Source organism: Homo sapiens, chromosome 4, assembly GCF_000001405.40.
Source record: "Homo sapiens chromosome 4, GRCh38.p14 Primary Assembly".
NCBI lineage: Eukaryota > Metazoa > Chordata > Mammalia > Primates > Hominidae > Homo > Homo sapiens.
Window position 1 is genome coordinate 23,729,864 of NC_000004.12, and position 21,142 is coordinate 23,751,005.

At 38.4% G+C, this 21,142-nt stretch overlaps 1 long non-coding RNA gene across 2 annotated transcripts in view; it reads left to right on the forward strand.

Annotated features, from left to right (window-relative positions):
• The window catches only part of LOC105374528 (uncharacterized), a 50,374-nt gene that overhangs the window by 11,190 nt on the left and 18,042 nt on the right, over positions 1 to 21,142 (forward strand). Inside the window, exon 2 of one of the 2 annotated variants that reach the window (XR_925476.3) lies at positions 11,585 to 11,665. The exons of the other annotated variant lie outside the window; for it this stretch is intronic. This is a non-coding gene — a long non-coding RNA (uncharacterized LOC105374528). The remainder of the gene's footprint in view (positions 1 to 11,584; positions 11,666 to 21,142) is intronic. 2 annotated transcript variants of the gene reach the window in all.

Consider the following 21,142-nt stretch of genomic DNA (forward strand, 5'->3'; position numbering starts at 1 on the left):
AGACTCTCCTAAAATAGTTTAAAAAGTCCTTTAATTTCACACTGCTACATTGAACACTAATATTTCTTACCCTTTTTAATCATAAGTCTTTTTAGTTTGTGAAGAATTGATCATTTCTGTCACTGGACCCCAGAAACTCTTAACTCCTGAAATAGTAGCTTTCCTTCTTGAGCTAAAAAACCTTCATCAACAGCCATTACCAACTGCAGCAAAATTTATTCCTTCAAAGCCTCTAGAGGGCAAGATCACTGTAATTTTCTTTTAAATTTTATCTGATTGTGATTCCAATTTGGCTGGAATTATGAAATGTCCCTTCAAATTAAGTAAACCGCAGCAACTCTTGCACTATCTACTGGATAACAATATATCCCATTAGCTCTGCTCTACAGATTTCAGTGAAATCCAAACTCATCTGTAATGGCTTCACAATTGGCACTACTGCACTTGATCAGTCCCAAGAAAGTCTATTGATGGAAAAGACGCATCAGCAATCAATAGACAGTGTTAACTTTTTAAAAAGCTTCTGTCACTTGCAGATGGTAATAATAACTTATTAGGATGTTGACTGAACCTAGTCATGAATCAAGACATAAAAAAGAGAAAATCAGTGGACTGCACCACCATTTATGAGGTATCCTGTGAGAAGGTAGAAGTATTAGATAAGTATAATGGATCCCATATTCTTAAAAGGAAATAATTGGACATAAGGTCCAAAGAACAGAACTTTTGATCTCTCTCTCCAGCAGGTTTTCAGACTGAGTAGTTAAGAAGTGGATAGTGCCATGTGGGTGTTAGAGAGGGGAAAGTATTTCATATACCTACTCTATGCCAAGTTGCTGAGCATTCATTGTTTATATCATGTAATCCTTTCCACAGCACTATAAATAAAATATCTCAATTTTTAAAATGAATGAATTGAGATTCAGAAAGGTTGAATAAACTGTACAAGAGCACACAGCTAGAGGTGAAGGAATCAGGATAGGAGCAGAGGTCTGTCCAACTTCAGAATCCACACTGCATGTTGGCTACTAGACTAAAAAGCAGATACATAAAGGGCTGGAAGAATATTATCTTGAAGACAAGGTCCAGAGATGGTTGGTTTTAAATTCAATTTTTAATTCCATTCAATTCTGTGAATACTTATTTGGTAACTTTTATCATAGCTGCCCAAAAAAGGCTACATGCTCTAATGGTTATGCCTGTACATTCTAGACTCTGATTCTCCTGTCATTCAAATTTCTGCTCTGCCATTTCCCAGCTGTGTAAACTCAGGTAAATGTACTTAACTCCTTCTCTAAGCCCAGGTTTCCTCATCTGTAAAATGGACATAAAAATAATTACCTTGTTTATAGTTTCTATAAAGATAAAACAAGATGGCATATAAAACCAAAGTACACTGCCTGGCAAAATGTATTCAATATGTGGTAGCTATGGCTACCACCCTGTTATTACAAAGCTATCTTATAAGATAACAGCATATAAATGAAGTTGAAGTATTTGGTATCAATATTATTTATTAAAGGAAAACAGAATAAGATAGACAAAACACTAATTATTCAGGACAAAGAAAAAGGTTGAATTCAATCATCATACCTCATCCAGAAATATGAGGAGCATTCTGGAAAACAGGAATATTAAGGGGACTACTCCTATGGCACTGCCAGAAGCCATACAACAAACAATAGGGTAGGAGAAGGGCTATTACCTGCCTATGTTAAACATATTTTTCTGTTATTATGTAATCAAAATATCAGAGAGAAAAACTTTTGCTAGAGTTTGTGGCAATTAGCATTGGCTGGGGAAATTTAATGGGCAGCAGACATCCAATGCTATAATACTTTGAGGGTGTGTATCATTCCAGAAATGTAATTGTCTTCTCTCCGAATCTGATTCACCTATTCAAAACCCCTGCTTAGCTGCTAGATTAAGGGCAATGCATCCTTTTAAAAAAGCAGTTCGTCAAGGATAGTTTTCTCAATTCTGACCAATGGGTTTGTCAGGGGAAAAGAAATGCAAATAGTGGCCATAAAAATGCAAAAAGTCACCCGAAGCTCCTGTATTCCATGATGGCCAACCTTTTCTTGGCATATAATCCAGATGAGCTGAACTTGACCCAATTTTATTCAGATGCAAGAAACCTTGGGATCACAGTGGTAGAAACAAGACAGTGATGAGTTCCTAGAACGTGGAGAGTTAGCCCCTGACAATCTTACTCCCATCTAGCCCCATCTCATGTTGTAGATGAAACGTTCACATGATCTTTTGGTTATTAGCTTCCCATACAGCCGTATCATTTCATTTTGGAAGCAGTAGTTCTCTAGGTGGACATCTATCAAGCCATTCTGTTTCTCCAAAAAGTCACTATCCTCCATCTTACTTGGGGAAATGTTTTTATGAGGTACTTGTAGAAAATTGATCTATTATACTTTGATAAATTCCACCTGAGACAAAGAAAAGAGAAATCAGACTGCATTCTAATGCCATGGTATTTCTCTAGTTGCCCTTGACATCCATTCCTGGAATCCTTGGGCACGCTTACTTCTTCCCGGCCTAAGACTATTCCTTTTAACTAGTATTTTCTCATTATCTTCTAAAGTCCTTTGCCTTTCTTTTTTCTTTCCCTCTACCTTCTTATTTGTTGCAGTCATCACAAGCCTACACCAATTGTTAGTATGCTTCCTGTTCTTCTAAGCTTGACTTTTTCCCAGCCATGGCCTGGGCTCTTTGTCATAAGCTTTATTCTTACTGGAATCTTCTCCCCAAGCAAACCTCTACTTGGGATCTCTTCCACAGCCTATTTTCAGTTTTTCAAAATGCTTACAGGAAGCAAGGTAAGCTTGGAAAGCAAGTCTTGACATTCAAAGCATCTTCGAATATTCACCCCTACTGGGTTCTTATTCCCAAGATGTTTGTCTTCCTCTTCTTGTTAGCAGAAGGCTGGATTGGAAAATAGGAACACAAAATATGCTTGCTACTATTGGTCTTATAAGACTGATATTTTCATGGGAACAGCCTGTTTGTTTACAAATAGTGCCTTCAGGGTGGTTACCATTGGTGATTGCTGTGGCAGCTTCAACAACACCATCAGCAGAGATTCACCTCTACTCTCTCTTTTCACCACATTTCTTTCTCCTCCTCCGATTGCCCAGACCCTAGCTATGGGGAAGCAACAACAACAACAACAACAAAAAACAAAATGTTATCTAGACCCTTTTTGTCAATAGAAAAGCTCGTTTGCAGTAGTTGAGCCTGTGTTTGCAAAATTAAAGTCAGCTACTTGCCTCCATTTCTAAACGTCTCACTCTGTCAAAGCCCAGGGTAAATGAATCTGTTCCACATTCAATCAGTCTTACCTTTGACTGAGTCCGTGACACCACATAGTACCATAGAAAATTCCAGTTTCACATGGACACTGTGAGGGTAACAACACAGACCAGGGCCTGTTGGGAGGTGGGAGCGAGGTGAGGGAACTTAAAGGATGGGTCAATAGGTGCAGCAAACCACCACTGCACACGTATACCTATGTAACAAACCTGCACATTCTGCACATGTATCCTGGAACTTAAAAAAAAAAAAGAGTAAATAAACTTTACAAATTATATATATTAAAAAAATCTAGTTCCTACCTTTCTTGATCAGCTGATGGCTTAGTGACCCCTGTGGCTGACACCAAGGAAAGCTCGGTGTGGTAAGAGTTAGAATGAACAAAAAGTTGGCTGTTACTGTATAGTATGCCTACTTTCCAGTGTGCCTGAGGATAAAATGAGCTCACAGTCTCATTATTTAGTCTTGAATGTGATGTCATACCATCTGATTGGCTTTATCCTTTCTCTTTTTCCTTCCCTGTCCTAAACCTCAACCTATTCAACCAGAACAAACCCTAATTTCATATCCTTGTATCAATCGAAACTGACCTCTTGAATTTAAAACTGTAAACCAAAAGTTCACCATGCTTCACCTGGGTCATTTTGTATTTGACTGCTAGAATACTGGCAATAGCTGAATTATCCTGAATATAGTGCAAATTGGACTAACACTAAAAGACACCCTGAATACAATGCTTTGGACTCTGGCTCTTCCTAGAAAGAAAACTTATTCAAAGGGATTTGACTTCTAATGTTTTTTAGCAGCTTAAGGGACTATAAGTAGAAATGTTATAAAACAAATCACCACTTTAGTAGATCAAAGTCCTGGGAAGCTATGTCTTTCATGTCCATGACCTGGGTGCTCTTTCCTATCATGTGGAAAAGAGAGGAAGATAGCCATAACTTCATGCCAGTAAAATATAATGACTAAACAATTTCAAGAAAATCACAAGAACCCAGGCAGCCAGGCCTTTCAGTTTTAAATGACTATGAACTCATTTAAGCATTTGTTCACAGAGGGCCAAAAGTCTATGATGGATCATGCAAGTCAGAGCTAAGTAATGGTTCACCATGGTCTGGTTAATAGTTAGACAAGCTGTTCACGTTTGATTAGGGTTTTCTTTTCCATTGCTATAATTGTATGATAATTAACTCAACAGACTTACATCTCATTTGGGGGAAATATGTACATTTTGAAGTTTCAGGATTAACAGACTCCACATGTCAAGAAAAAGTCTGAAATCACACTGTAGTTCTCCCACACAGCCATAAAGATCGGACCACAAGGTGTGTGTCTTGTGAGTTTCTGTCTCTAAAGAAGCTGGTGAGTTTCCTTAGCTCCGACTTCTTTCAAAGGCTCTATGCACAAAAGTGCTCTATCCAGACATCTGTTGATAGATTAGAATTGCCAAGTGGCAAAGAGAATGAACATCGAATGACTCTGGAGCTCGACTTAAGATGGAGCACATGAGGCTTTCCTAAAAGAAAAGGCATCCATTAATATAGGCACAACCCCATGATCAGGTGTTGTACATAATGAAGGGAAATTCTTTTAAAGCAGATGGCAAAGTAGCAGAGTGAGTGTCCAAATTAAGTCATTTATAAATTGGTCATGCTGATAACCCTGGAGATCTTTTCTTTCCTCTGACCGCCTATAAACTTATCCCTATCACACATCACAGCTAATAATCATTTACTGCCTCATGGTTATGCTAATTTCTAGAGTTCCTTAGATCTTTAAAGACAGAAGAAAATTTAGAGTGGGGACCCATCTATGTTTCCTTCAATCTTGCTAATTCAGTGTTAGTCCGTGATGCCCTAATACATGTGTAGAATCATGTGAGCTTTCCTAAGAGGCCACCCTTGATGACCAGTATTGGTAAGTTGTCTCTACTCTGACATTCTAGAGCTTTTTGAAGTTAGAAAAACATAGGACTCATATTCATGTATTAGAATTATTTTCTTTGTCCCACTGCTATTCATGAAGAGTAAGAATTGTGTGGGTATTATTGTATCCCTAAACTCCAGCAACATGTGAGTCTACAGTTTATTCTTAATAAAAAGTTTTGAATGATCAACCACAATTACCTTTCTCTTTTAGCAAACAGTAAGAATGATAGAAACATCCTTGATTAAACTGGGTGTGGCTGTCAATTTGTCTTCCGTCTAAAACAGAATTATTTTCCTGACAAGTTTCAGTAGTCCTATCACATTACAATTTAGAAAGTTAAACATATTCCCTTAGAACTTTTAGAGCATAGTGGGGTAGGAGTGAGGGGGAGAGAATTGTAAAATTTCTGAAAGGTTAGTACAATCTTGCTTGATGAGGCAGATAGCAAACAAATTATCTCCATTAACTCTTGTTCATGGCTGGCAACATCTCTTCCGGAGTCCTTTGGATCTTAGACTCACAATGGGACAGACAATCAAAGCATGGTTGGTTGGCCAGGTGCGGTGGCTCACGCCTGTAATCCCAGCACTTTGGGAGGCCAAAGTGGGTGGATCACGAGGTCAAGAGATTGAGATCATCCTGGTCAAAATGGTGAAACCCAGTCTCTACTAAAAATTCAAAAATTAGCTGGGCGTGGTGGCACGTGCCTGTAGTCCCAACTACTTGGGAGGCTGAGGCAGGAGAATTGCTCGAACCTGGGAGGCAGAGGTTACAGTGAGCCGAGATTGCATTGCTGCACTCTAGCCTGGCAAAAGAGCCAAAAAATAATAATAATAAAAATAAAATAAACCATGGTTTTTCTCTGCTGGAGAATTCTAGAGACCTAGTATCTCTTACTGAATTCCTTGATTTGGAGGTAGATTAATGTTCTGGGACATAACTATGTTCTATATTTCCTCTTCTTTCACTACCTAGCTACTCCTGCTGTCACACCATGAATTTGTTTCTCTCCCTTTGAACTTTTCCTGTCCTTTACCTATTTCTGCTCTATCCCAGCAAGGAAGCTCTTTTCTTTCTCTCTGTTCCAAACCTGAATACAAATCTCTCTCTTTAGTTCTCCTTAGAATACCTAAAACAAGTTGACATTTTGAACAGACACTTAAATTATAGAAAAATAACCAGATCAAATACAGGCTACATAGTTCATCTTAGCAAGTATAGTTTTGATTTGATACATCCTAGGAAATGCAGTGAAGAGCCTTCACATCCCAAATTCCCTGTTCCTAATATAATTGCATTCTTGAAAGTGTTTGGCACAGCCCTTACCACGGTCCTTCCTTCCAAGCCTGGCTGTCAGCCGTTTTACCTGAGGCACCATCTTGCCTCTCCAGCACCCACATGTAGAACTACTTATTTATTATATCCTTCCAAGGATAGATGCCAACACATCTAATGACAACATTTGCTGGTTCAGAACTTGCAGAAACCTAGGGCCTTTCCTCTCAGCTCCTGTTTCCTGGTGGTGAGTCTAGCCTGGTGCATAAATAATTTTCAAGGGGGTATTTCCTGACCCTGCTTGTGATCTCCTTGAGTAACCTGATCCTTCCACTCTGGATAATCATTAATTCTTTACATATCTACAGAATTTTAAATGACTCACTAAAGGGAGCACCATCACCTGTATACCTAGAGAAGTAATGTCTCACTTAACCATCTAACTGTACAGTTACTAGAACATACTTAACAATAAGCACAAGCACTACTTTTTTGAGATATATTGGGTTTATAGACACTTAAGTAATGGTACTTACAATGTTCTACTGATCATTCTACTGAGTTAAAGGACTATAAGTATTAAATATATGACTGCCTATAATAGTAATCATTATACTCTCTACATACTTGTTTATGTTTCTGTCTCCCTAAAAACCAGGAGCATCTTGAAGTCAGAGATTATGTCTTCTTTTAAATGTTTTATTCTCCCTCATTAAGCACAGTCTGACACTTAGTTAGCCCTCAGTAAATGTTTGATTAACAAACGAACATGCAAATTAGGTCTGATACAAAGTAATTTTTGCTTTCTATTCAAAATATTATTCCAACTTAAATTATGAAAAACATAAATTCAGGTAAAGGATTGTGATTGAGTGTCCTAAATGTATGTGGAAGGTGTTATTATCTTAGGAATTCAAACTTGAGGATGAAAACCTGGATTTGAATCTTGCTCCTACCACTAATTAGGGACATCATTTTTGGCAAGTTTATTAACTTGGCAGTTTCCTTGTGTGAAAAATTGGGATAATTATACTAATCTCATAAAGCTGTTAATAAAATAATATTTGTAAAGGCCTTAGCACAAGCCTGGCACAGTAAGCATTTATAAAATGGAAGCTTCTGTTGTTACCAGTGTATCATTGTAACAATAGAACAAATGACACTGCTGAAGAGGCTCTTGATTAAGAGATGCCTAGAAGTCTAAGCAAATCATTACCTGAGGCATTTGTTTAGATAGCTGAGTTCCAGACCATGGATTTAAGTTCACAGTTAAATATGTAATCTCTAGAGACATTGACAGGCGCCAAATGAAGACTCTTAAGTGGAACTAGGGGTTTTAAATGGACAGTGATGCATGAACTCAGCAATGAGACCAGAACAGAAATGTTATCTGACCACATAAAGTCTAGGACCAGTAGGGACAAAGAGCAGTGACTCATGGTCCTGCAGGGAGAACTCATGCTCAGGAAGGGACACCAAGCCTTCATATCCAAGGCAACGGATTCATACTAAGTCTCATTAGATATAGAAAGTGTTTCGAGTATTGGACTAATATGGAAGGAGCAAAAGAGAGCAGAGGTAGGTCAATAGAAACCAGGCCTGGCACAAAGCCTGCAGTGCCTAAGGAATGACCATGGCATTGGGGTAATGGTCTAGAGCTAAAGTTGGCCAAAAGAAAATCCTGTATGGTCAGGCTCTATGTATATGACAAACACACTAGGCATCTATCAAACTAAAATCATATTCAAAGTAAAATCATGTTTGCATGACCAGCAACAATGTGTCAATCAAAATGTACATCCAAGTCCAGGATGTAGTGAGAAATCAGAAATACATGATAGCACCAAATGCCTATAGCAGTATGATACAGCAGAAAGACTCAAGAGGGAAAATTTGAAAGAAAATGCCACAGAAAAACAAAGGTATGGACATATATCATGCTCCAGGGCTAAGCTGACTTAAATAGGCATGTTCTAGGATGTGTTCTTCCTTGTATTAAATGTGTAAGTGGCTCCAGTAAAGAAATTGTTTCTGTGCTCAAGTAACTAAGAAAAGCCACATGCTAAAGCCCTTTTAGGGAGGTACATTATATTAGCATATTAATGACCCGAAAAGTCTTGTTAAAAAGCATGTGTATATTTATTTAATCTAACACTTCTCAATATTCTAGGGCCACTCTTTGCTTTTGATAATACTTAATATTCTCTGAAGTAACTTTGGAAAATGCTAGCCCTAAACCACCCATATTATAGTAACGACATGTGTTTGATCTTCAGTCTCCTCACTTTAATAACAGAGATACCAGCAAACACCATGACAAAGTGTAAGGATCAAATCAGGTAATGTATAGGAAGCACCAAGAAAAGCACCTGACATGTTAAGTGCTATTTAGAAACAATGAAAGTTAACAAGAAGAGTTATTGAGAGTAATAGTAGCTAAGAAGAATAATATTCCCATTAGAACTAGCATGTCTTTGAAATATTAGAACTAATACTCATTGGATTATTTTAACTAATGCATTTTTTCATCTGTATCCTCTCTCCAAGAATATTTATCTTTAGATCCTCTCTCTGAGGTCTCATGTTATAAAACATAGTATTAATCATTTCTTGTTTCCTCTTCACAACAAATTGTCAATCACTGTCCATCTTTGTCAATATCTGTCAATTTCTGATCACTGTCAATCTCAGATCTCATCTATGTGGTCACCCAACTTCTATCTTGTTTCCTTCCAAAAGCAGCATCATTTGGAGTGAAAACTGAAAAACAAAACAATACAACCCCCTCTTCCACCCCCCACACAAACAACATAACTTACCTATTTTCTTTCATTTGGATTTTCAACAGGAATGAAGAATCAGATAAAACTAAAAATCTTAAAATTGAAACAGAGAAGAATAAAAAGGAAGGATCCTCCTTCCCACAACATACACATCTCAGTGACACCAAAGTCATTATAGGTCTTGCACAAGTTTGAGTTCTAGAGAGTCGATGTTGAGTTTTCAATAGCCCTGGGCTTCTCCTTAGAATTTGACATTCTTAAATTCACCTTCCTATTTGGCATCTCCAATTGGATATCAAAACTAAATTCTTGATTGAGCCCCTTGGCTACCAAATTCCTTGTTCCACAGTCATTCAGTAAATGCAGTAAACAGCACCTCAATCTTATTGCTCACCCAGAAGACTCGGGGTTATCTTTGACTTTGCCCTCTCTTACACACTACTTCCAGTTCTGCACAAAGCCTATCAGTTCCATCACTAATATATGCCCTTGACTGCTGTGCAAGCCACCAGTATCTCTTCCACGGATGACTACCCTCTCCTCCTAGAAGATATATCTCTGTTTCTACCCAGTGATTCTTCTAACATGTTAGTCCTCTAATGCAAGCCTCCCAGCAGCTTCCTGGCTCATTCACAGAGTTATTTAAGTTCTTCCTGGGGTCCCTGAGGATCTGCATTCTCTATCCTCCCACCCCACCTTGTCACATCTCTAAGTCTCCTCTCACACATTTTTCTCTTGTCTCTGGCCTTTTTGCTCCCTCTAGAACATTCAAGAATGTGCCCGCCTCAGAGTGAGGATTAAATGATTAATACAAATAGAGAGCTTAGGGCTGCATCTTATTCATAGTATGTCTTAATATTTTAAGACTACTATGTCTTTTTTTTTCTTCTCTGTATATTTTTACCACATCATGTACCATCTTACTATTTTATAAACAGCATTGAGGAATGCTGCCACCTCAGGGCACCTTCTCTAAGTATTCCCTCTGCCTAAATAGTCTTTCCCTGGAAACCACATGGTCTGCAGCTTCGCTGTCTTCAAATCTCTGCTAAAATCATCTTATTGATACATCCCTCTCTGATTACACCGCATAAAATAGCACCTATGACACAAAATGGTGGTGAAAATATAAAGAAGCACAACAAAAAAAAAACATAGGAGCTCCAAATGGCTGTGAAACATTATTAATTGATACTAACTATGAGTAAGATGTGGATTTAGCACTTTACATGAATTGATTATTTAATCCTCATAACAGTTCTATGATACAGTTAACATTAGCAATTCAGTTTTTTAGATAAGAAAGTTAATGTACATAGAACTTACTAACCTGCATAAGGCCACACAGCTGAAAACTGATAAACCTAGGATTTGAACCTAGGCATTTTAAATTGATAGTCAATGTGTTTATTTACACTACGGCCTGTGTTTCATGCTGATATTTTCATTTTAGTGTACTTAGAGTCCATCTTTCTCCTATTTAGCAATGTTTTGTAGGCACCCGCTATGTGTTATGCTTTAGTTCTGGGGAAAAAATATTGGTAAGAACTTAATTTGGAGAGGTAGCCAGGGCTCAGATCATACACAGTTCTCCAGACACTGGTGAGAACCTTAGGTGTTTTTCTAAGTGTGATGAGAAGTCATTGGATTGATATGATCACATTTGCAACACTCTGGTTGCTGAATGAAAAGTAGATTGCAGGGGGCAATAGAGGAAGCTGGGAGGTCAGGGAAGAGGCTGTTGCTAGGTCCTAGTCCACAGGAACAATGTTGGATGGGGTATGGATGGTGTCTGTGAAGGAATTGGTAAAAACTGGTCAGAGCCAGGGTATATTTTAGAGGAAGAACTAACAGCGTTTACTGATGGATTGAACATACGTCTTCCATATGCTTTTAAATCATCCTGTCACATTCTACAATATGAATATCCTATTGTTTACACAGTCATTCCTTCTATTTAAGACATACTTCACACTAACCACCACCATTTTTTTCAAATTACAAATCATACTAGGTTGTTTGTCCATATCCGTGATTTTTTTATGCATCAGTGATTGTTTCTATAGGGTTATGAAGTGAAATTTCTGGGTCGTAGAGTACACAAAAGTTTAATATTAATACCTACAGCCAAATAAGTCTCTAAATCATGTATATCAATCACCCTGTGCCAATTGTTATTTCTATAGTCCACTCTTTCCAATGTATTGCCAATGTGATTTCAATTTGACGTTGAAAATAGGCCCTCTCTCTGTTTCCCTGTCTCTCTGCAGGTTATGCTGGAACTCAACCTCACCTGTATACGGGTGAACCATAAGATGGTCCTTGCTACATCACTAGCCTTCCCTTATCTAGTAAGTGCAATGCCCAAGCAAATTCCCCCTTAATCCTGTCTTTTCTGGGCAAAGTTGAGAAATCACAGAGAGAGGAGGCGTGGTGAGTTTCAAAGGAAATTGTAACTGCTGCATTTAGCTACCCTTGTTAAATACCTGAATACAAGGAGAGCCCTCACAAGTCTGGTTATTTCCTTGTCAGGAAGTGTCTTTTCACAGGCCTGGTACAAGGTCAGGCAGTGCCTTCAGGGGCTGTTAAGAACAGGTTGCTCTGTAATTAACTGATTTGCTACAATACAGTAGTAAGGCATGTGCTTCCTCTAACCTTGAATATAACCCAGTGCATAGGTGCTCATTGACCTGTAAGTTGAGAGCTTTCAAGGAAAAGAGATAACTGTGCCCAGTAATCTTTCCTACCAAGCCTTCATAACCCTCCACTATCTTGCACACTCACCCATAGATTGCCTATCACAACAGACTGTAGACTTTCTGATAAATAGTGCTTGACACTTTCTAAACTTTCTCCTATTAACCCTTTCAACCTTACATGCCTGGAAGCCAAGCAGGCAGGGTGATATTATTCTAAGTTTATTGAGGTCAACTTGAGGAATGGAAAGGTTAATTGACTTGACCAAGGTCATAAAACAAGCTACAAAGAAAGCCAACAACAGGATTCAGATCTCTAGAAAAGTTTCCAGTCTAGTGTGGGAAATGTGAAATGAAGTGTATTTCTCCAACTGCACTGTTCTTTTCTACAATCTCATCCCCCAGGAACAAACTTGCTTTTCAAATTCTTCTTAGTTATGTTACCACATGATGACACACAGAAAATGGCACTTCTCATATAAAGCATGAGAATCAATAGATGATGATGTCTTGCTGTCTAAGTGACCAGCCTTGAGCCCCAGCCATTCCATAGCCTGCCAGACTCCCCTGAAGGATGAAGGCTTCAGAATCTTTACCAACTGTAATCCATTGGGGGCAAACCAATAAGGAAACATTCCACTTTCTTATAAAGTTCAACTTTATGCAAAGAGCTATCTCCCTCTGCTTGAGGAAAGATATAAAAGTATGATAGTACACTCATAATTGAGATTGTATGTATACTGGGGGAACTTCAAGGCCTGGGGTTTATAGCGGCTCCTGACTGGAGCTATAGGAGACCACGTTTTGGAAGAGGTAGCTAGGAACTATGTCATAACTCAGGTAAGGATGAGTTACAGGACCATGAACATGGCAATGAGACAGAGAGCAGGCACCTGATTTAAAATAAATGTCTTAAGAGATGGTGACCATCTGTGTGGAGTGCTGTAGCAAAAGTCAAGGATGTCTTCAAGATGTTTAGATTTTAAACTTCTCCCTAATGCCCCCTTCTCAATACTTCAACATACAATCTCAAATCTGATATAGTTATCTTTCTAACACAAAAAATTAATCACACTTTCTGTGAAAGCTTTAATGTTTTTTCATCAGGCATAGGAAAAGTTCCAGACTCATTTCCCAGGCATATAAAATTCTCCGAAGCCAGTGCCTAGAAATAAGCCATGAGATTTCTCTCTCTGTACTACCTATCTCAAAACTGGCCTTCAAGTCACACAGAAGGATGATCATTCCCTTTCTAAAACTGAGTTCTTTTATGCCTTCAGGATGGTCTTTGCTGTTGACTTTACCTTGTTCTTTGCCTGGCAAACTCCTACTCAAGGACCAACTCAAATGTCACCTCCAATTTAAGATTTTTCCCAAATCTATCAAGCATGTATAGTTTCTCCCTCCCTTTTCCTCACATAGAACCTTGTACTTCCCACGTACTAATTAATGATCTGCTTATGTCTGTCTCTTCCATCAGACAATGAAATTTCCCACCAAGGTGAATGCTGAGAAACTCAGCATCTAGCATCATATAGTAGTGGTATATAATAGATATTCCACAGGCATTTATTGGTGGAATTAAATAAATATATTCTCTATGCTTGATCATATTTAAAGACTAAGAAAATAATGACCTCACCTTCCTCCAACATCCTACTAGAAGTTGGCCTCAATGGTGTGGTGAACTGGCTTAAAGTAATACATAATCTCTTTTATGACTTAAGATTTTAAGTGAGTTACTTAATATCTTGGGGCCATCTTTTTCTCACTTGTAGAATGAATGTATTAATTCACACTTTACAAGGTTGCTGTGAAGATTCATTGTGACCCTAAGACTTGGTACATTCCAGGATGCTCAGTGAACTCTTCTTCATTCCTGCTTTTCTTCATTAAAGCCACTCTGAGCAATAATGAAAATATTTCTTCTGCAATGCTCATCTTCATTTGCATTTACATCTTCTCTTTTGTAAAGTGCAGACATTTACTTCTTTAGTTTTATTTTTCAGAGACAGAATTTGACTCTGCCACCCAGGCTGAGTGCAGTGGTGTGATCAGAGCTCACTGCAGTCTTGAACTCCTAAGATTAACTGATCTTCCCATCTTAACCTCCCAAGTGGCTGGGACCACAGGCCCATACCACCATACCTGGCTAATTTTTAATTTTTTATAGAAATGGTGTCTTGCTATGTTGTCCAAGCTAGTTTTGAACTCCTGGGCTCAAGTGATCTTCCCACCTCAACCTCCCCGAATGCTGGGATTACAGGTGTGAGCCACCATCCTGGCTTCACATATACTTTGGTAATTATTTATCTATGTGAACATAGCACTTTTAAGTACATATGAATAGATATACCTTTATGTATATAAACCAAAATTTTGAAATAGTATTCCCACAAAATATATTATTGTTGCTAAATAAATACCCATATAGACACAATATATAAATGGCTAAAAATATGGTTATATTATTGTAATAACCTGAGAGATATAATATGGAAGTTAAGAGGTTAGCCTAGGAGTAAGAAACATTCTGAATTCTGACAGTGTCTCTTAAAAGACTAACTTGTGATGCATCAGTTTCCTTGACTGTATCATGGATGTGATAAACATATATAACTCAAAGAGTTATCATGAAGTCTGAAAGAAACACTAAATGTAAAGCAGTTGGCACAGAACCTAGCACACGTTAAACTCAATAGATGTTATTTGTATGGTTCTAATCATTATTATTATTTCTCTGGCTTTCACCCAAACCTGCTCTTGCAGACTTTGAGACCTCTGATAATCTTACTCACCTATTCTGAGCATTCCTGCATGGTGTCCTCACTGTGCCTGTGTACATGGCATCTCAGCCTTCCCCAAACGGAGAGTGTAGGAAGAAGGAATGGTGGCTATTGGCAAAGAAAGTGTATGACCACAGCAGCTCCACCCAAGAAGCTGTGTACCTCTTCTTAATCAATCTCATTCATGCCATCAATGTAGTAATCTACCCTTCAACCCTCTATCATCCTTCTGCCCTCACACAGCCACGTCTAGGCACTGCCTCCTCCTATTCTTCTGCCACCCGAGCCCTAGGTATTCTCCTGATGTGCCAGAGTAACTCTGGGTTCTGTGTCAAAAGTGGAGAAAACACTTTGCTGCATCTGTTGTATTACACTTGTGACATAGGTACAAAAATTATTTTGTCTTGTGACTCAATATTCTATAGAGTTTTTAGTGTGGGAGAGATTGAGAGAGCCTGTAGGTTAGGGTACAATAGGAATGATCTAAAGAATTTTATTACAATCACCATTATTTATGTTCCAATAATAGAGTCAGATTACTAGATACAGTAAATTTATTTGTCTTGTATTTCCATTAGAAGAGAAAGTCACTCTTGTTAGCACTCTTCAAAGTCTCCCATCCCAGTTCTATGCACAGTGAATCTGAACCCTTGTGTGCCTGGGAACAGAGCCTGAAATGGGCTAACACAAGATCAAAATCTCTTTGATATCTTGTCTGTTACCTTAGAAAAAATAGTCACAAGAATTTAGCATCGTCTTCATGATATTATGTGAATATGAAATACTAGTATTCTTCTTCCGGATCTTTGAGTCCGTTTCATGGCTTGGATACCCTCTGCAATGTCACATCAACTTTAAGAGAACTCATATCCCAAGGCTGGGATCCCAGACAAGCCTTGGAATAAATGAGTTCTCTCCCAGCAGATCCCTCCTTTGTTAGTACTTGGTGGAAAAATAGATTTTTGGCATATACTTTCCACCCATTTGTCAAGTATGCCCTGACATAGCTGAATCCCAGCAATGAACACAATTTAAGGCTAAGCTTGATTCTCCTGTCCTCTAACAGATTTAAACACTACTTCAGAGCCATTATCAAGAACCTCAGTTTTTATTATACCACCTGCCTGTGTATTTGCCTGTTAAATGTGAGATTCTATTGGCTGAATAGTCAGGAGCAGAAGGTTTGCTGTGCATAATTCCTGATGTGAATCGCATTTCTTCAAAGTATGGGCATGCACGAGGGAAGCATTTGATAAATGTCTCTTAAAGATAATGCCTTGCATGGAAGTATCACTTTATACGAAGATATATCGGGTCATCCAAAGGCATTCAAGACCTTACAGAAAATAAAACCTATGCAATTAGTTCCCTTCATAGACTTAAGCATTTAAAAGTAATGGATCCATATAAATTATTGCATTCCCTACTCACACCAATTAAAATTTTCTCAGATGGTTCAGTCAGTGGCCCATATGTATTATAGCTCTAGTAACTCTCATCTCTTTCATAGATGCAAGTCAACCATATGTAGTGACATAGGCTGTGCCAGAAGTACCAAAATAGTTTTTGAAAATGAATGCTTCTGCACTGTGGCTCATAAAATCACCTGTTAATTATAAACGTAAGTTGACTCAGCCCAGTATTAGTTGAATGACTTAAACGTAATTTTTAAAATGCAGGGAAATCAGCAGCTAAAGGGAGTCACCAAAGACTTAGTAAAAAAGTAATAAGATTAAGCCATGTTACTATCATCTCCTAATCCACGTGGTTTTCCAGGAAACATGTGGAACTCACTGCAATCCTCTGAGACACAGCGGTACATGGCCTCTGCAATGGTTTTGCTTAAAAAGAACAACCTACCATAAAAAACAATGAAGCACTGATGCATGCTGCAACATGGACAGACCTTGAAAATACTAGGCATAGCAAGAGAAGCCAGTCACAAAAGGCCACATGGTGTATGGTTACATTCATACAAAATCTCCAGGATAGGTACATCCATAGAGAAAGGAAGTCAATTGTGGTTGCCAGAGTCTAAGGGAGGGAAGAATGGGAAGTGACTGCTGATAACTACAATATTTCTTTTAGGGGTGATGAAAGTTCCAAATTTAGATAGTAATGATGGTTGTATAACTCTGTGACTCTTCTAAGAACCACTGAATTGTACACTATAAAAGTGTAAATTTTATGGTAGATGAATTACATCTCAACCAACCAGGGTGTGGTAACAAGTGGAGCTCAGGAACAGGGAAGGATGAAGCATGATAAAGAAAGCTAAGGCCCGGTCACAATCAAAATCCTCAGAAGGGCTGCACTGGAATTATCCCTTCCTACACAAGCCTGCAACGTAAAGTCCAGAATAATTCTTGGACCTTAGAGTTTCTATTCCCAAGATCCAAAAATCAAGTTACTCACGTGTTTGTGTTTTATTTTTTCTTTCTTTCTTTTCCCCCTCATTGGATTTTCTAATAATTTTGAGTCAGGTGGAGGGGAGTCTGCTTTTCTCGTGCTGTTCATTATGGAAATTGATTTGACCCTTATTTGCATCTATTTGCACCACCATCAAGCTGATTTAGAATCCAGGGGTGGTTGCAACCTCCTCTGAAGCTGGCAGATTTGCTCTAAAAACAGAGCCCTGGAACTTTCCAACCAGCTCTGAAGAACTTGGTCTCTTGCCCTTTTGATTTCTGCACAGTATGGGCAGAGTTTCAGAGAAATACAACCAGTGGTAAAGGAAAGAAAGGAAACCTTTGTTGCCATCTGCTATAAATAGCCTCCATTCCCTTGCTTTCCCACCAAGCTGCTAGTCAACCCTGCCATCGTGGGTTGCACATCTGAAATGAATACATTGGGCCTTGGAGCAGGTGGCCCCAGGCCAGTTTGCAGGCTGCTAAGCAGAAGGAAAGGTGTTCAATCTTAAACAATCCAATATAGCTTGAGCACGGCAATTATCCCTGCTGGGCTGACTCACAAGTTTCTTACTAGCCTCAGAAGGGCAGGACTGCAACCTGGGGGCCAATGTGCCAAGGTGATAAGAACTTAGGAGAAGGCAGAGTTTACCAGGCTTAGCTGTTCTTCCCTCTCTTCTCTGCTTTCCCTTTTCTTTATCTGACACCTGCTCTACTTGGTTTCTTTATGTGTCCAACAACAACCCCCATCCTCACCTTCCCTATGCAGCCTGCACTCTCTTTTATTGTCAGAATGGAAATCACTTTATTGCTGTTTATGATTGTAAAGTATTGAATTCTCATTGTAAAAGAAGAAAGATCAGTTTACAAAGAAAGAGAAGAAAAAAAGGCATAAATATTAACTGTACTCTCACCATGCAAAGAAATTCACTCATACTTCAAATGCATAGTCTTCATATTCAAAGGGACTATTTCTTTTTCCAAAATGAAAGCTAAGAGACATATATAGTTTTCACTTCGAAATCCATCATGCGCATCTTTCCATTTCAATAAATATAGATCTACTCTACCATTTTTAGCAATCCATAAATGTATCCATAATTTGGACAGTCTGTTTCTTCTATAAATATATATATATATATATATATACACACACACACACACACACTCGTAGATAATGTACACATTTGCAGTTTTTTTCGTATCTCCAAATTTATCCATGAGGCCCTCATTCTGTCCTCAAGTTTTCCATATTTCCTCAGTCGCACCTGACATCTGTGCCTTCTGCTGCCCCGAACTGTCTGATCATCACAAGTTACCCATCCCAGGCCCTACTCCTTAAGACAGTATCTGCTTGGTGATAACTGGAAAGCTGTTAGGAATAAAGTGAGCTAATGGGTTAATTGGTACAGTGGTCTTTATTTAGTTTCCACAGATAACTGGAATAGGGATGGCTTTAGAAATAACCTGACGCGGCATTTCCCCAAGTTGTGGGTTCATAAGAACTTAGGTTGGGGTGCAGGAGCTAGGTTGAATATTTAAAAGTCTGCTGACTTCTCCGCAGAGATTTCAATGTGATTAGTACTGCATGGGGTCTAGAAAGCCGTCATTTAATAAGGATTCCATGAGATTCTTTGGATGAGTCAAATTTCAGAAAACCTGATTTTATCAAATTTTTTAATCTTTAAAATGAAGTAATACAAGAGCAAATATATATAATTTGTCTCATTTACATGAACTATTAGGGGCAGGACTTAAGGTAATGTCTACATTTTTCTATCCCCAAGCCTGTCATCTTTTCACTGCATTAGAGCTATTTTTTCTAAGGAAAAATTGTATTAGAACTTTAACTTCTGATTAGAACACTGTAGCAGGAAAGATTTTTGGCTGGTACATAGTGATAATTCTAGAACTCAAAGTGTACTTAAGAGAGATTGAGGCAAGAAATGGCATTTTATTGAAACTCAAATCATATATCTTGCAAATGGCTGTTTACTTCCTATTTGGGTGTGTGCATGTGTGTGTGCATACACAGCCACATGTTGGTCTTAAAAATAATTAAAGTTAAATATGATTATAGAACCAATAATACAAGAATAAACCATCTGTAGAGTTTTTTCTAGACTTGTTTCCGATGAGGAAAAAAAAAAAATACCAGTGCTAATGCAGAAAGACTGGATCTAATCAAAAGCAAAGTTTTTCCTTTATTTGAGTCTGTCTTCATCTGTGCAGAACTGCTTCAGCAAGATATTCAACTTTCATTGAAAATATGTGGAACAAAGAACACACAGACAGAAAGAAGGATCCTTAAATCGATATTTACTAGGGAGATACTTACACGGTCTGGTGGTCAACTCGGCCTTGGTGTTTATATATAATAAGTACCTGGTAGAATTTTTTTTTGATTCAAAACTTTATAAAGATAACAAAAGTGGTCATTTAAAATGCCCTAACTCATGGAGTAGGAACTATAATGAAGTCCTTCCAATTTTCAGGAAGACTATAATTCTTCCCGTTGGTAGAGCTTTAGGTAGCACACCCTGTTGAACACTTTGTGTAGAAGGATAAATAGCCTTACTGACCTTCATGGTACCTGCTATGGGTTGAATTGTGCTTCCCCTTTGTCCCCAAATTCATATATTTAAGTCCTGATTCTCTGGTCCTCAAATATGACCTTATCCAGAAATAAGGTCATTGTAGATATAATTAGTTTAGTAAAATGAGGCCATGCTAGTGCAGGGTGAGCCTTTAATGCAATGATTGGTGTCCTTAGTAAAAGGGGAAATTTGGACCCAAAAGCAGACACACACACAGGAAGAATGCCATGTCAAGACTGGAGTTCTACTTCCATAAGGCCTGAACTACCAAGAGCTATGAGAGAGGCCCAGGACAGGTTGTTTCCTAGAGCCTTCAGAGAAACATGACCTTCCAACCCTTTGGTCTAGGACTTTTGGCCTCCAGATCAGTGAGAAAATATATTTCTGGTTTCTAAGCCACTCAGTTTGTGGTACTTTGTTACATCTACCTAGGAAACTAACAGAGTACCCTTCAGAACATGACCTCCAACCAGGTAATACATTTTAAGGCAAGGGCAATGCAACAATGGGCTAATACCCGTGACACTCACTGATTTAATCATACAAAAGCTTAATGGATTTGGAGATCCTAATGCCAGTGAGAGACACCTGCAACAAGATACTGAGCCTGATTTTCTTGAAATAGAAGCTGATTCTTCCCCTCAGCTATTTCATGTTCCTTATGCAGCTGCACATCAGTGGTAAGACAAGAGTGTCTATGCTTGCACAGGTGGCTAATCCTGGGTCATTGGATTGCTGGCATCAATGAATACAAGGAGGGCCAGATTTCAAACATCAAATGTCCCTAGGGACATCTCTTAATACTTCTTATCTAATAGTAATAATGAATAGAAAACCGAATCTACCCAGTGTCCTCCTCAACTCCCACCAAAGACAAGATCACTAAGGACACAGACCTATTGAAATAAAGGTTTGGGTCACCACTCATCCAGCCAAGGTGTGAGGAACCTGAAATAGATGGTAGAAGATGGGAATTATGATGGACAACTTAGGCCTTATGATCAGCCACTAAAGCCGAACAAAAGCAACTAAACATTATGATTCTTTATGCTTTCTCATCTTCCACTAATTTATATCATGACTGTTGGCTAACGTTTTAAGTTTCATGTAGAAGAATGAAGAAATTGACATCACCCTCACTATGATATATTTAATAGTAATGTTTTTGTGTGTCTCTTTGTTTGGGCTGTACATATTACAGAACAAGAATGGTTGCCCAGGGACGAGAGGGCTTGATTGTGTTGTAGGTTATCTCTTTTTCTCTCTAGATCTGCTCACTTCTCTCTCCCACATCTTGTTCTTTGTTTTGGGAGGCTAATCTATAAAAGTCTCATCAATGGA